At 38.1% G+C, this 20277-nt stretch overlaps 1 protein-coding gene across 1 annotated transcript in view; it reads right to left on the reverse strand.

Annotated features, from left to right (window-relative positions):
• FREM3 (FRAS1 related extracellular matrix 3) overlaps nt 1-20277 on the reverse strand; it is a 123374-nt gene that overhangs the window by 96492 nt on the left and 6605 nt on the right. Inside the window, exon 2 of the mRNA NM_001168235.2 lies at nt 19320-19409. Within this exon, the coding sequence (NP_001161707.1) occupies nt 19320-19409 (90 nt within the window). The remainder of the gene's footprint in view (nt 1-19319; nt 19410-20277) is intronic.

The following is a 20277-nucleotide window of genomic DNA, read 5'->3' on the forward strand; positions in this document are numbered from 1 at the left end:
GTTGCCCCTCCCGCAGCCTCGCTGCCATCTTGCAGTTCTATCTCAGACTGCTGTGCTAGCAATGAGCGAGGCTCCATGGGTGTGGGACCCTCCGAGCCATGCGCGGGATATAATCTCCTGGTGTGCCATTTGCTAAGACCATTGGAAAAGTGCAGTATTAGGGTGGGAGTGACCCGATTTTCCAGGTGCCCTCTGTCACAGCTTTGCTTGGCTAGGAAAAGGAATTCCCTGACCCCTTGCACTTCCTGGGTGAGGCGATGCCTCGCCCTGCTTTGGCTTACGCTTGGTGTGCTGCACCCACTGTCCAGCACCCACTGTCCAACAAGCCCCAGTGAGATGAACCCGGTACCTCAGTTGGAAATGCAGAAATCACCCATCTTCTGCAGAAATCACCCATCTTCTGCAGAAACTCTACAAGCCGGAAGAGAGTGGGGGCCAATATTCAACATTCTTAAAGAAAAGAATTTTCATCCCAGAATTCCATATCCAGCCAAACTAAGCTTCATAAGTGGAGGAGAAATAAAATACTTTACAGACAAGCAACTGCTGAGAGATTTTGTCACCACCAGGCCTGCCCTACAAGAGCTCCTGAAGGAAGCGCTAAACATGGAAGGGAACAACCGGTACCAGCCACTGCAAAAACATGCCAAATTGTAAAGACCATTGATGCTAGAAAAAAACTGCATCAACTGACAAGCAAAATAACTGGCTGACATCGTAATGATAGGATCAAATTCACACATAACAATATTAACCTTAAATGTAAATGAGCTACAGGCTCCAATTAAAAGACACAGACTGGCAGATTGGATAAAGAGTCACGACCCATCAGTGTGCTGTTTTCAGCAAACCCATTTCATGTGCAGAGACACACATAGACTCAAAATAAAGGGATGGAGGAAGATCTACCAAGCAAATGGAAAACAAAAAAAAGCAGGGGTTGCAATCCTAGTCTCTGATAAAACACACTTTAAACCAACAAAGATCAAAAGAGAAAAAGAAGGCCACTACATAATGGTAAAGGGATCAATTCAACAAGAAGAGCTAACTGTCCTAAATATATATTCACCCAATACAGGAGCACCCAGATTCATAAAGCAAGTCCTGAGAGACATACAAAGAGACTTAGACTCCCACACAATAATAATGGGAGACTTTAACACCCCACTGAACATTAGACAGATCAACGAGAAAGAAAGTTAACAAGGATATCCAGGAATTGAACTCAGCTCTGCACCAAGTGGACCTAATAGACATCTACAGAACTCTCCACCCCAAATCAACAGAATATACTTTCTTCTCAGCACCACACCACACCTATTCCAAAATTGACCACATAGTTGGAAGTAAAGCACTCCTCAGCAAATATAAAAGAACAGAAATTATAACAAACAGTCTCTCAGACCACAGTGCAATCAAACTAGAACTCAGGATTAAGAAACTCACTCAAAACCGCTCAACTACATGGAAACTGAACAACCTGCTCCTGAATGACTACTGGGTACATAACGAAATGAAAGCAGAAATAAAGATGTTCTTTGAAACCAACGAGAACAAAGACACAACATACCAGAATCTCTGGGACACATTTAAAGCAGTGTGTAGAGGGAAATTTGTAGCACTAAATGCCCACAAGAGAAAGCAGGAAAGATCTAAAATTGACACCCTAACATCACAATTAAAAGAACTAGGGAAGCAAGAGCAAACACATTCAAAAGCTAGCAGAAGGCAAGAAATAACTAAGATCAGAGCAGAACTGAGGGAGATAGAGACACAAAAAACCCTTCAAAAAATCAATGGATCCAGGAGCTGGTTTTTTGAAAAGATCAACAAAATTGATAGACTGCTAGAAGGACTAATAAAGAAAGAAAGAGAGAAGAATCAAACAGATGCAATAAAAAATGATAAAGGGGATATCACCACTGATCCCACAGAAATACAAACTACCATCAGAGAATACTATAAACACCTCTATGCAAATAAACTAGAAAATCTAGAAGAAATGGATAAATTCCTCCACACGTACACCCTCCAAAGACTAAACCAGGAAGAAGTTGAATCTCTGAATAGACCAATAACAGGCTCTGAAACTGAGGCAATAATTAATAGCTTACCAACCAAAAAAAGTCCAGGACCAGATGGATTCACAGCCGAATTCTACCAGAGGTACAAGGAGGAGCTGGTACCATTCCTTCTGAAACTATTCCAATCAATAGAAAAAGAGTGAATCCTCCCTAACTCATTTTATGAAGCCAGCATTATCCTGATACCAAAGTCTGGCAGAGACACAACAAAGAAAGAGAATTTTAGACCAATATCCCTGATGAACATTGATGCAAAAATCCTCAATAAAATACTGGCAAACTGAATCCAGCAGCACATCAAAAAGCTTATCCACCATGATCAAGTGGGCTTCATCCCTGGGATGCAAGGCTGGTTCAACATATGCAAATCAATAAACTTGATCCAGCATATAAACAGAATCAAAGACAAAAACCACATGATTATCTCAATAGATGCAGAAAAGGCCTTTGACAAAATTCAACAACCCTTCATGCTAAAAACTCTCAGTAAATTAGGTATTGTTAGGACGTATCTCAAAATAATAAGAGCTATTCATGACAGACTCACAGCCAATATCATACTGAATGGGCAAAAACTGGAAGCATTCCCTTTGAAAACTGGCACAAGACAGGGATGCCCTCTCTCACCACTCCTATTCAACATAGTGTTGGAAGTTCTGGCCAGGGCAATCAGGCAGGAGAATGAAATAAAGGGTATTCAATTAGGAAGAGAGGAAGTCAAATTGTCCCTGTTTGCAGATGACATGATTGTATATCTAGAAAACCCCATTGTCTCAGCCCAAAATCTCCTTAAGCTGATAAGCAACTTCAGCAAAGTCTCAGGATACAAAATCAGTGTGCAAAAATCACAAGCATTCTTATACACCAATAAGAAACAAACAGACCGCCAAATCATGAGTGAACTCCTATTCACAATTGCTTCAAAGAGAATAAAATACCTAAGAATCCAACTTACAAGGGACGTGAAGGACCTCTTCAAGGAGAACTACAAACCACTGCTCAATGAAATAAAAGAGGATACAAACAAATGGAAGAACATTCCATGGTCATGAATAGGAAGAATTAATATCGTGAAAATGGCCATACTACCCAAGGTAATTTATAGATTCATTGCCATCCCCATCAAGCTACCAATGACTTTCTTCACTGAATTGGAAAAAACTACTTTAAAGTTCATATGGAACCAAAAAAGAGCCCGCATTGCCAAGTCAATCCTAAGCCAAAAGAACAAAGCTGGAGGCATCACGCTACCTGACTTCAGACTATACTACAAGGCTACAGTAGCCAAAACAGCATGGTACTGGTACCAAAACAGAGATATAGACCAATGGAACAGAACAGAGCCCTCAGAAATAATACCACACATCTACAACTATCTGATCTTTGACAAACCTGACAAAAACAGGAAATGGGGAAAGGATACCCTATTTAACAAATGGTGCTGGGAAAACTGGCTAGCCATATGTAGAAAGCTGAAACTGGATCCCTTCCTTGCACCTTATACAAAAATTAATTCAAGATGGATTAAAGACTTAAATGTTAAACCAAAAGCCATAAAAACCCTAGAAGAAAACCTAGGCAATACCATTCAGGACATAGGCATGGGCAAGGACTTCATGTCTGAAACACCAAAAGCAATGGCAACAGAAGCCAAAATTGACAAATGGGATCTAATTAAACTAAAGAGCTTCTGGACAGCAAAAGAAACTACCGTCAGAGTGAACAGGCAACCTACAGAATGGGAGAAAAATTTTGCAATCTACTCATCTGACAAAGGGCTAATATCCAGAATCTACAAAGAATTCAAACAAATTGACAAGAAAACAACAACCCCATCAAAAAGTGGGTGAAGGACATGAACAGACACTTCTCAAAAGAAGACATTTATGCAGCCAACAGACATATGAAAAAATGCTCATCATCACTGGCCATCAGAGAAATGCAAATCAAAACCACAGTGAGATATGATCTCACAGCAGTTAGAATGGCTATCATTAAAAAGTCAGGAAACAACAGGTGCTGGAGAGGATGTGGAGAAATAGGAACACTTTTCCACTGTTGGTGGGACTGTAAACTAGTTCAACCATTGTGGAAGTCAGTGTGGCGATTCCTCAGGGATCTAGAACTAGAAATCCCATATGACCCAGCCATCCCATTACTGGGTATATACCCAAAGGAATATAAATCATGCTGCTATAAAGACACATGCACACGTATGTTTACTGGGGCACTATTCACAATAGCAAAGACTTGGAACCAATGCCAATGTCCAACAATGATAGACTGGATTAAGAAAATGTGGCACATATACACCATGGAATACTATGCAGCCATAAAAACTGATGAGTTCGTGTCCTTTGTAGAGACATGGATAAAGCTGGAAACCATCATTCTCAGCAAACTATTGCAAGGACAAAAAAACCAAACACCGCATGTTCTCACTCATAGATGGGAATTGAACAATGAGAACACTTGGACACAGGAAGGGGAACATCACACACCGGGGCCTGTTGTTGGTTGGGGGGATGGGGGAGGGATAACATTAGGAGATATATCTAATGTAAATGATGAGTTAATGGGTGCAGCACATCAACATGACACATGTATACATATGTAACAAACCTGCACATTGTGCACATGTACCCTAGAACTGAAAGTATAATAAAATATATATATATATGTAAAAAGAAGAAAAAGCCTGTGTTTGAAGCAACTATGGAATTTAGGAAAATGCCAGAATGTTTTAGAGATTCAAATATCCAGGTTAAATCAATATTTCTGGTGCTAAGAAAAAGTATGCAAGTATGTACCACAGTCAGCCAAGATTAAAAGTTCAAAACAACATTGAAAATGAAAGAGAAAAATGCCTTTTATTAGATAACCTCTTAATTAAACTTCAATATAGTCATAAAATGAAATACATACTGTTTAAAAAGAATAAGGCAGCTTAGGTAAATCCATTTGTGCTAGTTTATTATATATATGATGAACTGTATTTCAAGTAATAAGAACATATTTTAAGTAGGTGCAAGTAAGGTTTAGATGCAAGCATAAAAAAACTCTTACATGTATAAAAAGGATGCACATATACATATTCTGCTCTGTGAATAATTTTCTTTTTTTAAGGATACATAACAAGTTCACTTTTGGAAAAGTAATTAGGTGTCAATGCACAGTTTAATTGTTGTTTAACCATGTATATGCATTTATTTTACTTTCTAAAAATGTTGATAGCAGTCTTCTGGTCTCCACCAGAAATTATAGGTCATTTAAAATTTCTCGGACTATTTAAAAAATACCACTAAATTCAGGTATTTATTTGCAGGATTTTAGACTTAACACTTTCACTTGGAGGTACAATTACCAATGCTAAAAAGAAGGTTACGAGTGTGCCCATTAATTTTCAAAATACTGTTCCTTACCATTCTCTCATTCGTTGAATTCTCTTCTAAGACTGATTCAATCTTGGATGGTGTGAAAAAGTGTTGCCTTTTAGAAAAGAGCAATTTGTAGTAAAAAATTGCCTACAGCAACAGTTGAACTCCAGGCCTGGCTGGACTGCTGGATAACTTATAAGATGATCAAAAGTAAATAGAAAATATTTTTCTCATCTTTATATAATCAGCGGTTTCAGCATAAAAGAAAAACAATAAAATTAAATCACACAAAGGGAAAATTATCTGGCATATCTCATATGGGAGAGTGGATGATGTCACTTTGCTCAGCACAGGATCTGCACATCCAGCCCTCTGCAGCAATTTCCTATATTTCACAGCTCTGAGCTAATTCTTCCCCAGATTGGCTTTACAGAACCTGGGAATGCTGTTGGTGAGCCTTATCTGCTCCATTGCCTCTCATTGCCTCTGGAACTATCTTGCTTATAGCTTGTCCAGGGCGAACAATTCATTTTTGTTCACCATGTATACAGGAATAAAAGAACCAAACAAGAAGGACTCATGAGGAAACAAGTTAGCAACAAATCCAATTGCTGATTCCTTCCTGCCTGAGATAAATCGCCCTGATTCTCTCGTTTGGATTTTTGAACCCATTACATTATTATAATGGGGACATTTCTGATGTATGTATAAGCTAGAATAATGTGGTTAGTCATATTAATCAATATTATTGAACGAAGTTGGTTGTGATGTATTCAAGCATTCTTTTTTTCTTAAATGGAAATTGCCACCTTCTAATAATAATAAAATGGTCATTGTAAAGCATTTACACAAGAAAATGTAAAAAAAAGCAAAAGGAAATATTAATAAAAACAATTTATTATCCATCATTGCCATTATAAACCTATCTTAACATCTTGCTGTATACATTTTAGACCTTCCCCTATATATATATATATGTATATATGGAATAGGGAATAATGCATATATATATATATGGAATATATATGCATATCTATCTATATATATCACAATGTAATCTCCTTTACATCTTTACACACTGTTTTCCACTTGTTTTTCTTCATTTAACAGTACATTCTGAACCTTTTCCAATATAAACAAATATGGGTTTATTATTGTATCATCTTCTAAGGCCCATAGACTTGTTTTACAGACTTACCACACTTATGCATTCCTCTGTATTATAAGGAGCTGTAGAAATATGTCGGGCATTTTGTCTCATCACTACATTTACATTGCTTCTTGAATTCTTTATCTGCTAATTTTTACCTCATCTGTATTTTATAACTGTCTTTGCCTTTGACACTTATACTTTTCTTACCACTGTTTTTATTTAAAATATAATTAGAGTTGTTTGAAAAATAAGAGCAAACAGACTTCAAGCATTTTTGAATCAGGCGTGAAAATTTTGGGCCATGGATCTCATAATTTGACTACCTAGAGACATTTCTAACTTGCTTTTGAATTATCATATGTATTCTAAAGAGTTTAATGTTCTAAGTAAGTGTGATATTACTTTAACTGCATGGAGAGATTAATTGAACTCTTGGTTGGTTCTATCACTGTCACTGTCCTGATAAATATTTTTTAAATCTCTTATTAATTTATTTTCATAATTTGCTTGAAAAGGACAGCCACCTAAACAGAAAATAGGAATTCATATGGACCACGAGGCAAGTCAAATTCCATCAGGTCAAATTTAAATATCAAAATGCATAATATTAATCACATGAACTTTAAACACCAAATCATTTGAGAGAAAATTGAACAATCTGTTTCTAGTCTTAATAGGATAGTTAAATATCTATAGTACATCACAAAATTAAAATAGTCTTTCTTGCACATAGCTAGCTGTTCAGTATGGCTTATTAGAAGGAATTGACTTGGTTCCTCTAAATTGTTCTTTGTATAGATGATTTTTATTCCTTAAGCCCATTTTGTCATCTTAAAATTTGTAGTAAGGAGCAAATGAAATAACTCCTATAAAACACTTTATTGATATATTAAGTGCTATACAAGTTTAGAGTAATATTATTATATGGTAAGTGGAAGAGACCCATTTAGTGTTATATATAGTAGAGATGTGAAAATTTTCAATATAAATCTATGATTCCATGAGTATAATGACCTAGGGAAGGAAGATTAATAAACTTGACAGTATGCTTAATTGGCACAGTTCAGAGCTTTAGAAATCTGAACTGTATCCCCTATTCTGCCAGTGGCTTTCATAGTAACCTTGAATATAATGAAATTTATCATTAATGTTAAAAAGTAGACTGATCTCTTATGGTGAAGTAGCCTTAGTCCGGATTACTCAAAAACTGCAGAAATTGATGAAACACATAAATCCACCACATTGTCAAAAATTTCCATTTAAATTGCCAGTTAAACTCTATACACCAGTATGGTTAGGTCCATGACTATGTGAGAGGAAAGAAGAGAAGAGAAGAAAACTTGTATTTATTGGGAAATTGATATATGTTAAGCATCATATTACATTTTTGGTATATGTTAGTTCATTTAACTATAGCAGAACAAAAAGAAAAAGGCAAAATTGATAGAGACAACAAGATGTGGATAGGTAAGATATTCACTGTGCATCAGCTCAGTAAGTAGCATCAAAGACTAAAACAGTGGATTGACTTACTTCCTCTCCTTCTTTTGTCTACTTGTTGGATGTCGCATAAATATAAAATCAGTTTATAAGTAGGCAGAGAAAAAGAGGTGAGAAACCAAGGGTTTAAGGCAGTATCCCACTAAAATAATTCACCAAAATAGTCTAAAATTGACCTCATATAAAGAAGAATAAGTTAATAAACTTCTTTTCAGCTAGAAGAAGAAAAATACAAAATTTGGTATCCTAGTGAGGCAAGAGAATAGGGTCTGGAGGCAGGGGACCTAAGGCTGTTTCACACCAACTTCCTAGAACTAAACTGAAAGGAAAATCCTAATTTTCCAGGCCTAAGTAACAAAAGGACCAGAGGCTACTCCCTTTGACCTTTTCTGCCCAGCAGACAGGAGATTGGCTGTCCGCAACAAATCATAATGAGTGCGGTTGAGTCCTGGTTTGTAACTTTGTAACTTCACTCCCCGCACTGAATGGCTGCTGTCTGCAACCAATCAGACTGATTGCGGGCTACCACTTCTGTTACATGAGGTGAGCATGAAGTGGCCAATGAGAAACTTCTAGCGGGTATTGGGACCCAAGAAGATTCTGTATCCGGGCCCTTGAGCCACTGCTTGGGTCTGCTCCCACACCGTGGAGTGTACTTTTCTTTTCAATAAATCCCTGCTTTTGTTCTTTTGTTGCATCATTCCTTATTTGCTTTGCTGGGGGTTTTGTCCAATTCTTAGTTCAAAATGCAAAGAACCTGGACAACTTGTAGTCACTACCCTTTACCATTAACATTAGCTGATAATTGTAAAGATAGTGTTTATTGAGTGTTTACTATGTGTCGGGCACTCTTCTAAGTGCCTTATGTGTGTTGATTCCTTTAATACTTGTGGTAGAGAACAATGGTTCAATGTTTCCCAAAAGACATCCACATCTTCATTCCTGGAATCTATGAATATGTTGCATGGCCAAAGGGTCTTTTCAGATGTGATTAAATGAAGGCTTTTGAGACAGGGAGACTATGCTGGATTATCTGGGTAGGCCCAGTGTATCACAAGGGTCCTTACAAGTGAAAGAGGGAGACAGGGGAGTGTCAGAGTGATGCAGCAGGAGAAAGATTCACCCACTTCCGGCTTTGAAGACGGAGGAATGGGCAGTCTATAGAAGCTGGAAAAGGCCAGGAAATGGATTCTACCCTAAAGTCGCACAAGAACATGCGGTCTTGAGGTTTTAAAAACTAGGCTGGAGAGAGGCGGATGATCATGGCAGACGGGATGCAGGATTAGATTGCAGCTCCGGACAGAGCGAGCAGGGGCTTGCATTGTGAATTTTAGCTCCAGATCTACTGCAAGAACAAACCAGCAATCCCAAGAGGACTCACAGACCCTCTGAAGGAAGCGGACTGTTCCTGCAGGACCTGGGAGAGTCCCCCCCAAACTGTGAGTGCCCCAACTATGGAAGTGGTAAAGGGAGACCCTCCTCTCCTAAACACACACCCCCATTGGAGAAGCTGAAGGTCTGTTTGCAGAAGTTTCCAACTTTACCTGCAGCTGAGTCAGTTTGGAGAGCTGAGCAAAATTCAGGGGTAGAAGAAGCAGCAGAAAGGCCCTGGGAGCTCGCTGGTTCCCCTAGCAGGCCATTCCTGCCTGGCATCACAGGGATCCAACGGGAGAGGAGCAGGGGGAGAACTACACAGGGACAAGGAAATCTCTAGGTGAACTTTGTAACAATTTGAACGGGGTGAGAAGCCTCCTGGCCAGAACCCGGGGAGGGAGCAAATCCAGTGAGCAGAACTCCACAGGCAGGGAAAGAACCAAGCCCCTTTCTTTCGCAGCTGGGAGGCAGATAGCCTGGGGCAGGTTTTCAAGCCTGTGTGGTTCTCCACCTGGAAATGGTCTGGGGCTGTTGTGGGGGGCATGGTGAAAGTGAGAACTGCCCTTCAGTTTGCGTGGGAGCTGGCTGAGGCCTGTGACTGCCGGCTTTCCCCCTCTTCCCTGACAACCTGTATGACTAGAGGCAGCCATAATCTTCCTAGGTGCACAACTCCAGTGACCTGGGAACCTCACTCCCATTCCCCACAGCAGCTGCTGCAAGACCCACCCAAGGAAAGTCTGAGCTTTGACACACCTAGCCCCTCCCTCACATGATGGGCCTTCCCTACCTACCCTGGTAGTGGAAGACAAAGGGCATATAATCTTGGGGGTTCTAGGACCCTGCCCACTGCTGGTTCCTCCCCATACTACCACAGCTGATGCTCTCTGGAAAGTGTGACCTCCTAGCAGGAGATCAACCAGCACAAAAACAGAGCATTAAACCACCAAAGCTAAGGACCCTCATGGAGTCCATTGCACCCCCCACCACTTCCAACGGAACAGGAACTGCTATCCATGGCTGAGAGACCCATAGATGGTTCACATGACAGGACTCTGTGCAGAAAACCCCCAGTACCAGCCTAGAGCCTGGTAGACTTGCTGGGTGGCTAGATCCAGAAGGGAGAACACAATCACTGTAGTTCGGCTCACAGAAGCCACATCCATAGTAAAAGGCAGAGAGTACTACATCAAGGGAACACCCTGTGGGACAAAAGAATCTGAACAGCAGCCTTCAGCCCTAGACCTTCCCTCTGACAGAGGCTACCCAAATGAGAAGGAACCAGAAAACCAACCCTGGTAATATGACAAAACAAAGCTCTTCAACACCCCCCAAAAATCACACTAGTTCATCAGCAATGGGTCCAAACCAAGAAGAAATCCCTGATTTACCTGAAAACGAATTCAAGAGGTTAGTTATTAAGCTAATCAGGGAGGGACCAGCGGAAGGCGAAGCCCAATGCAAGGAAATCCAAAAAATGATACAAGAAGTAAAGGGAGAAATATTCAGGGAAATAGATAGCTTAGAGAAAAAACCATCAAAAATTCATGAAACTTTGTATACACTTTTAGAAATGTGAAATGCTCTGGAAAGTCTCAGCAACAGAATTGAACAAGTAGAAGAAAGAAATTTCTAGCTCAAAGACAATGTCTTCAAATTAACCCAATCCAAGAAAGAAAAAAGAATAAGAAAATATGAACAAAGCCTCCAAGAAGTCTGGGATTATGTTAAATGAACAAACCTAAGAATAATCGGTGTTTCTTAGGAAGAAGAGAAATCCAAAAATTTAAAAAACATTTTTGGGGGAATAATCAAGGAAAACTTCCCCAGCCTCGCTAGAGACATAGACATCCAAATACCAGAAGCACAAAGAACACCTGAGAAAATCATTGCAAAAAGATCTTCACCTAGGCACATTGTCATCAGGTTATCCAAAGGTGAAGGAAATAATCTTAAGAGCTGTGAGACAGAAGCACCAGGTAACCTATAAAGAAAAACCTATCAGATTAACAGCAGATTTCTCAGCAGAAATCCTACAAGCTAGAAGGGATTGGGGGCCTATCTTCAGCCTCCTCAAACAAAGTAATTATCAGCCAAGAATTTTGTATCCAGCAAAAGTAAGCATCATATATGAAGGAAAGACACAGTCTTTTTCAGATGAACAAGTGCTGAGGGAATTTATCATTACCAAGCCACCACTACAGGAACTGCTAAAAGTACCTCTAAATCTTGAAACAAATCCTGGAAACACATCAAAACAGAACCTCTTTAAAGCATAAATCAGACAGGACCTATAAAACAAAAATACAAGTAAAAAAGCAAAAAACAAATAACCAAAAAAATCAAAGTACATAGGCAACAAAGTGCACGATGACTGCAATAGTACTTCACATTTCAATACTTACATTGAATGTCAATGATCTAAATGCTCCACTTAAAAGATACAGAACCAGCTTCATCCATGTCCAAACTAACACAAGAACAGAAAACCAAACACAGCATGTTCTCACTCATAAGTGGGAGTCGAACAATGAGAACACATGGACACAGCTGTGGGGGGCACATCACACAACAGGGCCTGTCAGGGGGTGGGGGCCTGGAGGAGGGATGGCATTAGGAGAAATACCTAATGTAGATGATGGGTTGATGGGTGCCCCAAACCATGGCATGTGTATACCCATGTAACAAATCTGCATGTTCTGCACATGTACCCCAGAACTTAAATTATATATATATATATGATACAGAACCGCAGAATGGATAAGAACTTACCAACCAACTATCTGCTGCATTCGGGAGACTCAGCTAGCACATAAAGACTCACATAACTTAGAGTAAAGGGGTGGAAAAGGACATTTCATGCAAACGGACACCAAAAGCGAGCAGGAGTAGCTAATTCTTATATGAGACAAAACAAATTTTAAAGCAACAGCCGTTAGAAGCGACAAAGAGAGACATTATATAGTGGTAAAAGGCCTTGTCCAACAGGAAAATATCACAATCTTTAACATATATGCACCTAACACTGGAGCTCCCAAATTTATAAAGCAATTACTAATAGACCTAAGGAATGAGGTAGACAGAAACACAATAATAGTGAAGGACTTCAATACTCCACTGATGGCAACAGACAGGTAATGAAGACAGAAAGTCAACAAAGAAACAATGGATTTAAACTATACCTTGGAACAAATGGACTTAACAGATATATACAGAACACTGTATCCAGCAATAGCAGAATACACATTCTATTCAACAGCACATGAAACTTTCTCCAAGATACATCATATGATAGGCCATAAAATGAGCCTGAATAAATTTAAGGAAATTGAAATTATATCAAGCACTCTTTCAGACCATAGTAGAATAAAACTGGAAATCAACTCCCAAAGGAACCTTCAAAACCATGCAAATACATGGAAATTAAATAACCTGCTCCTGAATGAGCATTGGGTCAAAAACAAAATCAAGATGGAAATTAAAAAATTCTTCGAACCGAACGACAATAATAACACGACCTATCAAAACCTCTGGGATACAGCAAAAGTGGTGCTAAGAGAAAAGTTCATAGCCCTAAACACCTACATCAAAAAGACTGAAAGCACAGACAATCTAAGGTCACACCTTATGGAACTGGAGAAACAAGAACAAACCAAACCCAAACCCAAACCCAGCAAAAGAAAGGCAATAACCAAGATCAGAGCAGAACTAAGTGAAACTGAAACAAACAAACAAAAAATACAAAAGTTAAATAAAACAAAAAATATATTTTTTTCAAAGATATTATCTTTGAAAAGATAAATAAAATTGATAGACCATTGGCAAGACTAATCAAGAAAAGTAGAGAGAAAATCCAAATAACCTCACTAAGAAACAAAACAGGAGATAGTACAACTGACAACACTGAAATACAAAAGAGCATTCAAGGCTGCTACGAACACCTTTACTCACGTAACTAGAAAACCTAGAAGAGATGGATAAATTTCTGGAAAAATACAAACCTCCTAGCTTAAATCAGGAAGAATTAGATGCCCTGAACAGACCAATAACAAGCAGTGAGATTGAAATGGTTAAAAAATTACCACCATCACCACTGACGACAATAACAAAAAATCCAGGACCAGATGGATTCACAACAGAATTCTACCAGACATTCAAAGAAGAATTGGTACCAATTATTTTGACACTATTCCACAAGATAGAGAAAAACGGAACCCTCCCTAATTCATTCTATGAAGCCAGCATCACCCTATTACCAAAACCAGGAAAGGATATAACCAAAAATGAAAATTACAGACCAATATCCTTGATGGACATAGATGCTAAAATTATTAATCAAATACTAGCTAACCAAATCCAACAATATATCAAAAAGATAATCTACCATGATCAAGTGGGTTTCATATCAGGGATGCAGGGATGGTTGAACATCCACAAGTCAATACATGTGATACACCACATAAACAGAATTAAAACAAAAAATCACATGATCATTTCCATAGATGCAGAAAGAGCATTTGACAAAATCCAGCATCCCTTTATTATTAAAACTCTCAGCAAAATTGGCACACAAGGGACATACCTTAATGTAATAAAAGCCATCTATGACAAACCCACAGCCAATATAATACTGAATGGGCAGAAGTTTGAATCATTCCCTTCGAGAACTGGAACAAGACAAGGATGCCCACTCTCACCACTCCTCTTCAACATAGTACTGGAAGTCCTAGCCAGAGCAATCAGAAAAGAGGAAGAAATAAAGGGCATCCAAATCAGTAAAGATGAAGTCAAACTGTCACTGTTTGCTGACGCTATGATCATTTACCTTGAAAACCCTAAGGACTCCTCCAGAAAGTGCCTAGAACTGATAAAAGAATTCAATAGAGTTTACGGATACAAGAGTAAAGTACACAAATCAGTAGCTCTTCTATACACCAACAGCTACCAAGTGGAGAATCAAATCAAGAACTCAACCCCTTTTAAAATAGCTGCAAAAAATAAATAAATAAAATAAAATACTTAGGAATATACCTAACCAAGGAGTCAAAAGACCTCTACAAGGAAAAGCACAAAACACTACTGAAAGAAATCATAGACAACACAAACAAATGGAAACACATCCCATGCTCATGGATGGGTAGAATCAATATTGTGAAAATGACCATACTGCCAAAAGCAATCTACAAATTCAATGCAATTCCCATCAAAATACCACCATAATTATTCACAGAATTAGGAAAAACAATTCTAAAACTCATACAGAACCAAAAAAGAGCCTGTATAGCCAAAGCAAGACTAAGCAAAAAGAACAAACCTGGAGGCATCACATTACCTGATTTCAAACTGTACTATAAGGCCATAGTCACTAATACGGCGTGGTACTGGTACAAAAATAGGCACATAGACCAATGGAACAGAACAGAGAACCCATAAATAGAGCCAACTACTTCCAGTCAACTGATCTTCGACAAGGCAAACAAAAAACATACAGTGGGGAAAGGACACCCTTTTCAACAAATGGTGCTGGGGTAATTTGCTAGCCACATGTAGGCAAATGAAACTGGATCCTCATCTCTCACCTTATACAAAAACCAACTCAAGATGGATTAAGGACTTAATCCTAAGACCTGAAACTATAAAAATTCTAGAAGATAATATTGGAAAAACCCTTCTAGACATTGGCTTAGCCAAGGATTTCATGATCAAGATCCCAAAAGGAAATGCAATAAAAGCAAAGATAAATAGCCGGGACCTAATTAAACGAAAGAGCTTTTGCATGGCAAAAGGAACGGTCAGCAGAGAAAACAGACAACCCACAGAGTGGGAGAAAATCTTCACAATGTATATATCTGACAAAGGACTAATATCCAGAATTTACGACGAACTCAAACAAATCAGTAAGAAAAAAACAAACAATCCCATCAAAAAGTGGGCTTAAGGACATGAATAGACAATTCTCAAAAGAAGATATACAAATGACCAACAAACATGAAAAAATGCCCAACATCACTAATAATCAGGGAAATGTAAATCAAGACCGCAATGAGATACCACCTCACTCCTGCAAGAATGGCAATAATCAAAAAAATAATTAAAAAAAGCAGTAGATTTTGGCATGGATGTGTTTGTTAATCAGGGATCACTTCTACACTGCCGGTGGGAATGTAGTACAGCCACTACAGAAAATAGTGTGGAGATTCCTTAAAGAGCTAGAAGTAGAACTACAATTTGATCCAGCAATCCCACTACTAGGTATTTACCCAGAGGAAAATAAGTCATTATTTGAAAAAGATACTTGCACACGCGTGTTTACAGCAGCACAATTCACAATTGCAAAATCGTGGAACCAACCAAAATGACCATCAATAAACGAGTGGATAAAGAAACTGTGATATATATATATATGATGGAATACTATGCAGCCATAAAAGGAATGAATTAACAGCATTTGCAGTGACCTGGATGAGATCGGAGACTATTATTCTAAATGAATTAACTCAGGAATGGAAAACCAAACATCATATATTCTCACTGATATGTGAGAGCTAAGATATGATGATGCAAAGGCATAAGAATGACACAATGGACTTTGGGAACTTGGGGGGAAGAGTGGGAGGGGGGCAAAAAATAGTATATACTGCTCGGGTGATGGGTACATGAACATCTCACAAATCACCACCAAAGAACTTACTCATGTAACCAAATACCACCTGTACCACCAAAAACTTATGGAAAAATTAAAAAAAAAAAAAAAAAAGAAATGCAGCCTTGTCAAAACCTTGATTCTATTCCAGTAAAGACCATTTTGGATTTCTGAACTCCAGAGCTGTAAGATGACAGATTTGCGTTGGTTCAAGCCACTAAGTTTGTGGTAATTTGTTACAGCAGCAATAGGAAACTAATAAAATCCTCATAATAATTCTAAGGAACACATGCCATCATTATCTTCAGCTCATAGATGAGCAAACTAAAGCACAGGCAGTTTCTCAAAGATGCAAGACTACAAGAGTTGAGCTGGGATTTGGACACAGACAGCCTGGGTCCAGAGCCTATTAATTAGAAACCTTCATGGTATCACTCTTGAGATTTTAGTAAAGTTGGAGCACTAGGGTCATTTTTGCCAGCATTTCCATTCTTAAGGCCCATGAGCTAAGCTGCAGCATACACCTAATGTCCAGTTCTGGAGGCAGGGCAGGGTCTTCTTTTAACAGTTTGAATACTGGTATGGGAAACAACAACATCAACAACAACAACAACATCTCCTTCAGCCCGATGGTGAAAGATCTATTTCTAGAAGGGTATAATACCTTCTGTTAGTGCTATGTGCTATTAGGAAAAAACAATTATTAATAGATCAAATGGAAATTTTCAACATTCCATTTGGGAAATCTTTTTAAGGTGAGGGCATTTTGAAAGAAAAAAGATTAAGTCAGCCACTGTAAAGCAATGGATTCATAATATTTCAAAATAACAGATAAAAAAATGTTTAAAGTGAGTCCTTTATCAGCTGTTCCAGGAATGCCATCAACAGCAGACATGGATCTTAGCTCCATGCATGGTACATGGAAGGCAACTGAAAAATTCACTCATTGGGCATGGCAGCACATGCCTGTAGTACCAGCTACTTGAGAGGTGGATGTGGGAGGACCAACTTGAGGCCTAGAGTTCGAGGTTGCAGTGCACTATGATTGCACCTGTGAATAGCCACTGCATTCCAGCCTGGGCAACATAGAGGAACCCTGTTTCTAGAAAAAATCTTTAAAGAAATGATTTTTTAAAATTCCAGTTTGTCCCTGGATCTAAGGGAAAAAAATCCACTGGATAAATGAATGTGCAAATGTTTAATTAGTTTATGTATATGTACTTTAAGATACAGCTATGAATGAATGTATCCTCAAATATTTTGGACTCTGTGTTTGATCATTCTTATCACTTTAATTCTCAAGGTGCTTCTTTATCAGGTTAAGAAGTGCAGTCTTGGCCCTGTTCTCTAACTTTTGTCCACGGCTTCAGCTTCCCAAAGCAGAGTGAGTGTATACTGCTCGGGTGATGGGTACATGAAAATCTCACAAATCACCACCAAAGAACTTACTCATGTAACCAAACACCACCTGTACCACCAAAAACTTATGGAAAAATTAAAAAAAAAAGAAAGTGCAGCCTTGTCAAAACCTTGATTCTATTCCAGTAAGGACCATTTTGGATTTCTGAACTCCAGAACTGTAAGATGACAGATTTGCGTTGGCAGTTAAGAGCCCTAGCTTTGGAATTGGCAAGACCTGGATTTGATTCCAGTTTACTTGCCTATTACTTGTATGACTTCAGGCAAGTTATTCAACCATGGTGTCTTCATTTTAAAATGGGCATCATAACATTTACTTTTTATTTTGTAGTGAGGATCAAAAGTCATAATGTCTTTAGGGACTGGCTAGCTCACAGAAAAAAGTTAAAACATGGTAGCTACATAATATTCACCTTACAGTGTCATCACAGACTGATTTTTGTTTGTAACGTTGTCCACAAAGCATAGTGTGAGAGTCAGAGGTGCATCTTTTTAGAGTGACATTCTTTTCAAAAACAGAAAGGAAAATATTCAATATAAAATATTTGTCTTACATTTATTTATGAACCTGTTTAAAGGTGTAAATTCATCTTTTTAGTAACTTATGGTTCTTGAGAACTTGGGAAAGGGAAGGAAGATTTGATTTTAAACTTTAAGGGAGAAAATGGATAGGAGGGATCAGTAGTTTCAACTGTAGTTAGTCTCATCAGAAGGGGAGAAAGTACCTAGTTAATGGGCACCTATCTTTAAATTAATTTTTTTTAAAAAGAACAAGAATCAGGTGAAAGCACCTACTTTTTATGAAGTGCTTTACATTTATGATCTTAGTCAATCCTCTTAGCAACTCTTTGACATAGGTATGAAGACCACCACTTTATACATGGGGGAATGAATGAAGAGGACAAGGTCACTTACTCAAGGTCACACGGGACAAGTTGGGATTCAAACCCAGTCAGTATACCATATGGCCTCTCATATAGGACTACTTTACAATAAATTCAGTTCCTGACTGATTACACATGATTTAGGCAGAAAATGCAGGTTACTTACTGGGAATGAGTAATGATTTGTATTGAAAGAGGTTACTGAGTGGCAAGCAGCACACAGAGATAATTTCTGCTATTATCCTGTCATACTGCAAAATGATTTTTCTTCTGACCACATAATCATTGAATCCCTAGGTGTGTAAAGAAAGTGGCTTCTGTTAACTAGATGCTGCCCATTATTCTACTTTGAAGTTAATAGTAGACAGACCAAGCTGCAGCATAAACAGGCAGTTTTTAAGTAAGCTTTCCTCTATGCCGGGAGAAATATATATATATCTACCCCATCCAGAAAGATTTCAAGTCTAAGATCAGGGAGCCATAAGATTCAGTTCTGCAGATAAAAATCCCAACAAAATCTGAAGATGTATTTTCTAATTTGTTTCAGAATGATAGAAACCACTAGCTAGATTCACAGAATCTCTTGAAGGTAAGATTCACTTGCCTATATGATGTCACACATGATCCAGATCAGATAAAATACTTCACATTTCACTCATCAAATTCCTCATTGCTTTTTCTTCCTAAAAAGTTATTTATCAAGAATCGTTTGGCACAGGACCATAAGTGAAACAAAAAGAATTAATTTGTTTGTATTATGACATTATTTATTGTGATTACTTGCTTACATGATGCCTATACTTGCCCAGAAATGATTTAATTTTTTTTCCAATTTTATGTTGATTTTAGTTAACCATGAATCCTTTTGAAGGGTTTATTATGACTTACCATTGTCTTCAACAGAGAAATAGAAGATGTCCTTTGATGCGTTGCTGCCCTCATTCAAGACATAGGATATCTTCATCTCATCAATGTCAGCTAAAAAAAAAGCAACCATCACACAAAGTCATATTGGCACAAATGAAAATGAGTATGTTAACAACTTCAAAGTTTTAATTAGGCATAGAAATACTCCAATTAATAAATTTTAAAATAGTGATTGAGTGAACATGAATCTTCTTAAAGCTACAATGTCAAAAACAAAACTTTAGTTTGAAATTTGGTCTCAATGAGGTACCATCTCACCCCAGTCAGACTGGTGATTATTAAAAAGCCAAAAAATAACAGATGCTGGGTGAGATTGTAGAGAAAAAGGAACACTATACATTGTTGGTAGGAGTGTAAATTAGTTCCACCATTGTGGAAAGCAATGTGGAGATTCCTCAGAGAGCTAAAAACAGAACTATCATTCAACCCAGCAGTCCCATTACTGGGTATACACCCTCAAAATATAAATCATTCTGTCATAAAGACACATGCATGCAAATGTTCATAGCAGCACTACTCACGATAGCAAAGACATTGAATCAACCTAAATGTCCATCAATGACATCTTGGATAAAGAAAATATATTACATATATACCATGGAATCCTATGCAGCCATTAAAAACTAGATCATGTCTTTTGTTGTTCTTCTTCTCGTTGTTGTTTTTTCAGGGACATGGATAGAGCTGGAGGCTATTATCCTTCACAAACTAATTCACGAACAGGAAACCAAATACTGCATATTCTCACTTATAAATGGGAATTTATAATAATTCTAAGGGGAGTTCTTAAATGATAAGAACTCATGAATACAATGAAAGGAACAATCAACAGTGGTGTTTTCTTGAGGGTGGAGGGTAGGAGGAAGGAGCAGAGCAGAAAAGATAACGACTGGGTACTGGGCTTAAATACCGGGGTGAT

Source organism: Homo sapiens, chromosome 4, assembly GCF_000001405.40.
Source record: "Homo sapiens chromosome 4, GRCh38.p14 Primary Assembly".
NCBI lineage: Eukaryota > Metazoa > Chordata > Mammalia > Primates > Hominidae > Homo > Homo sapiens.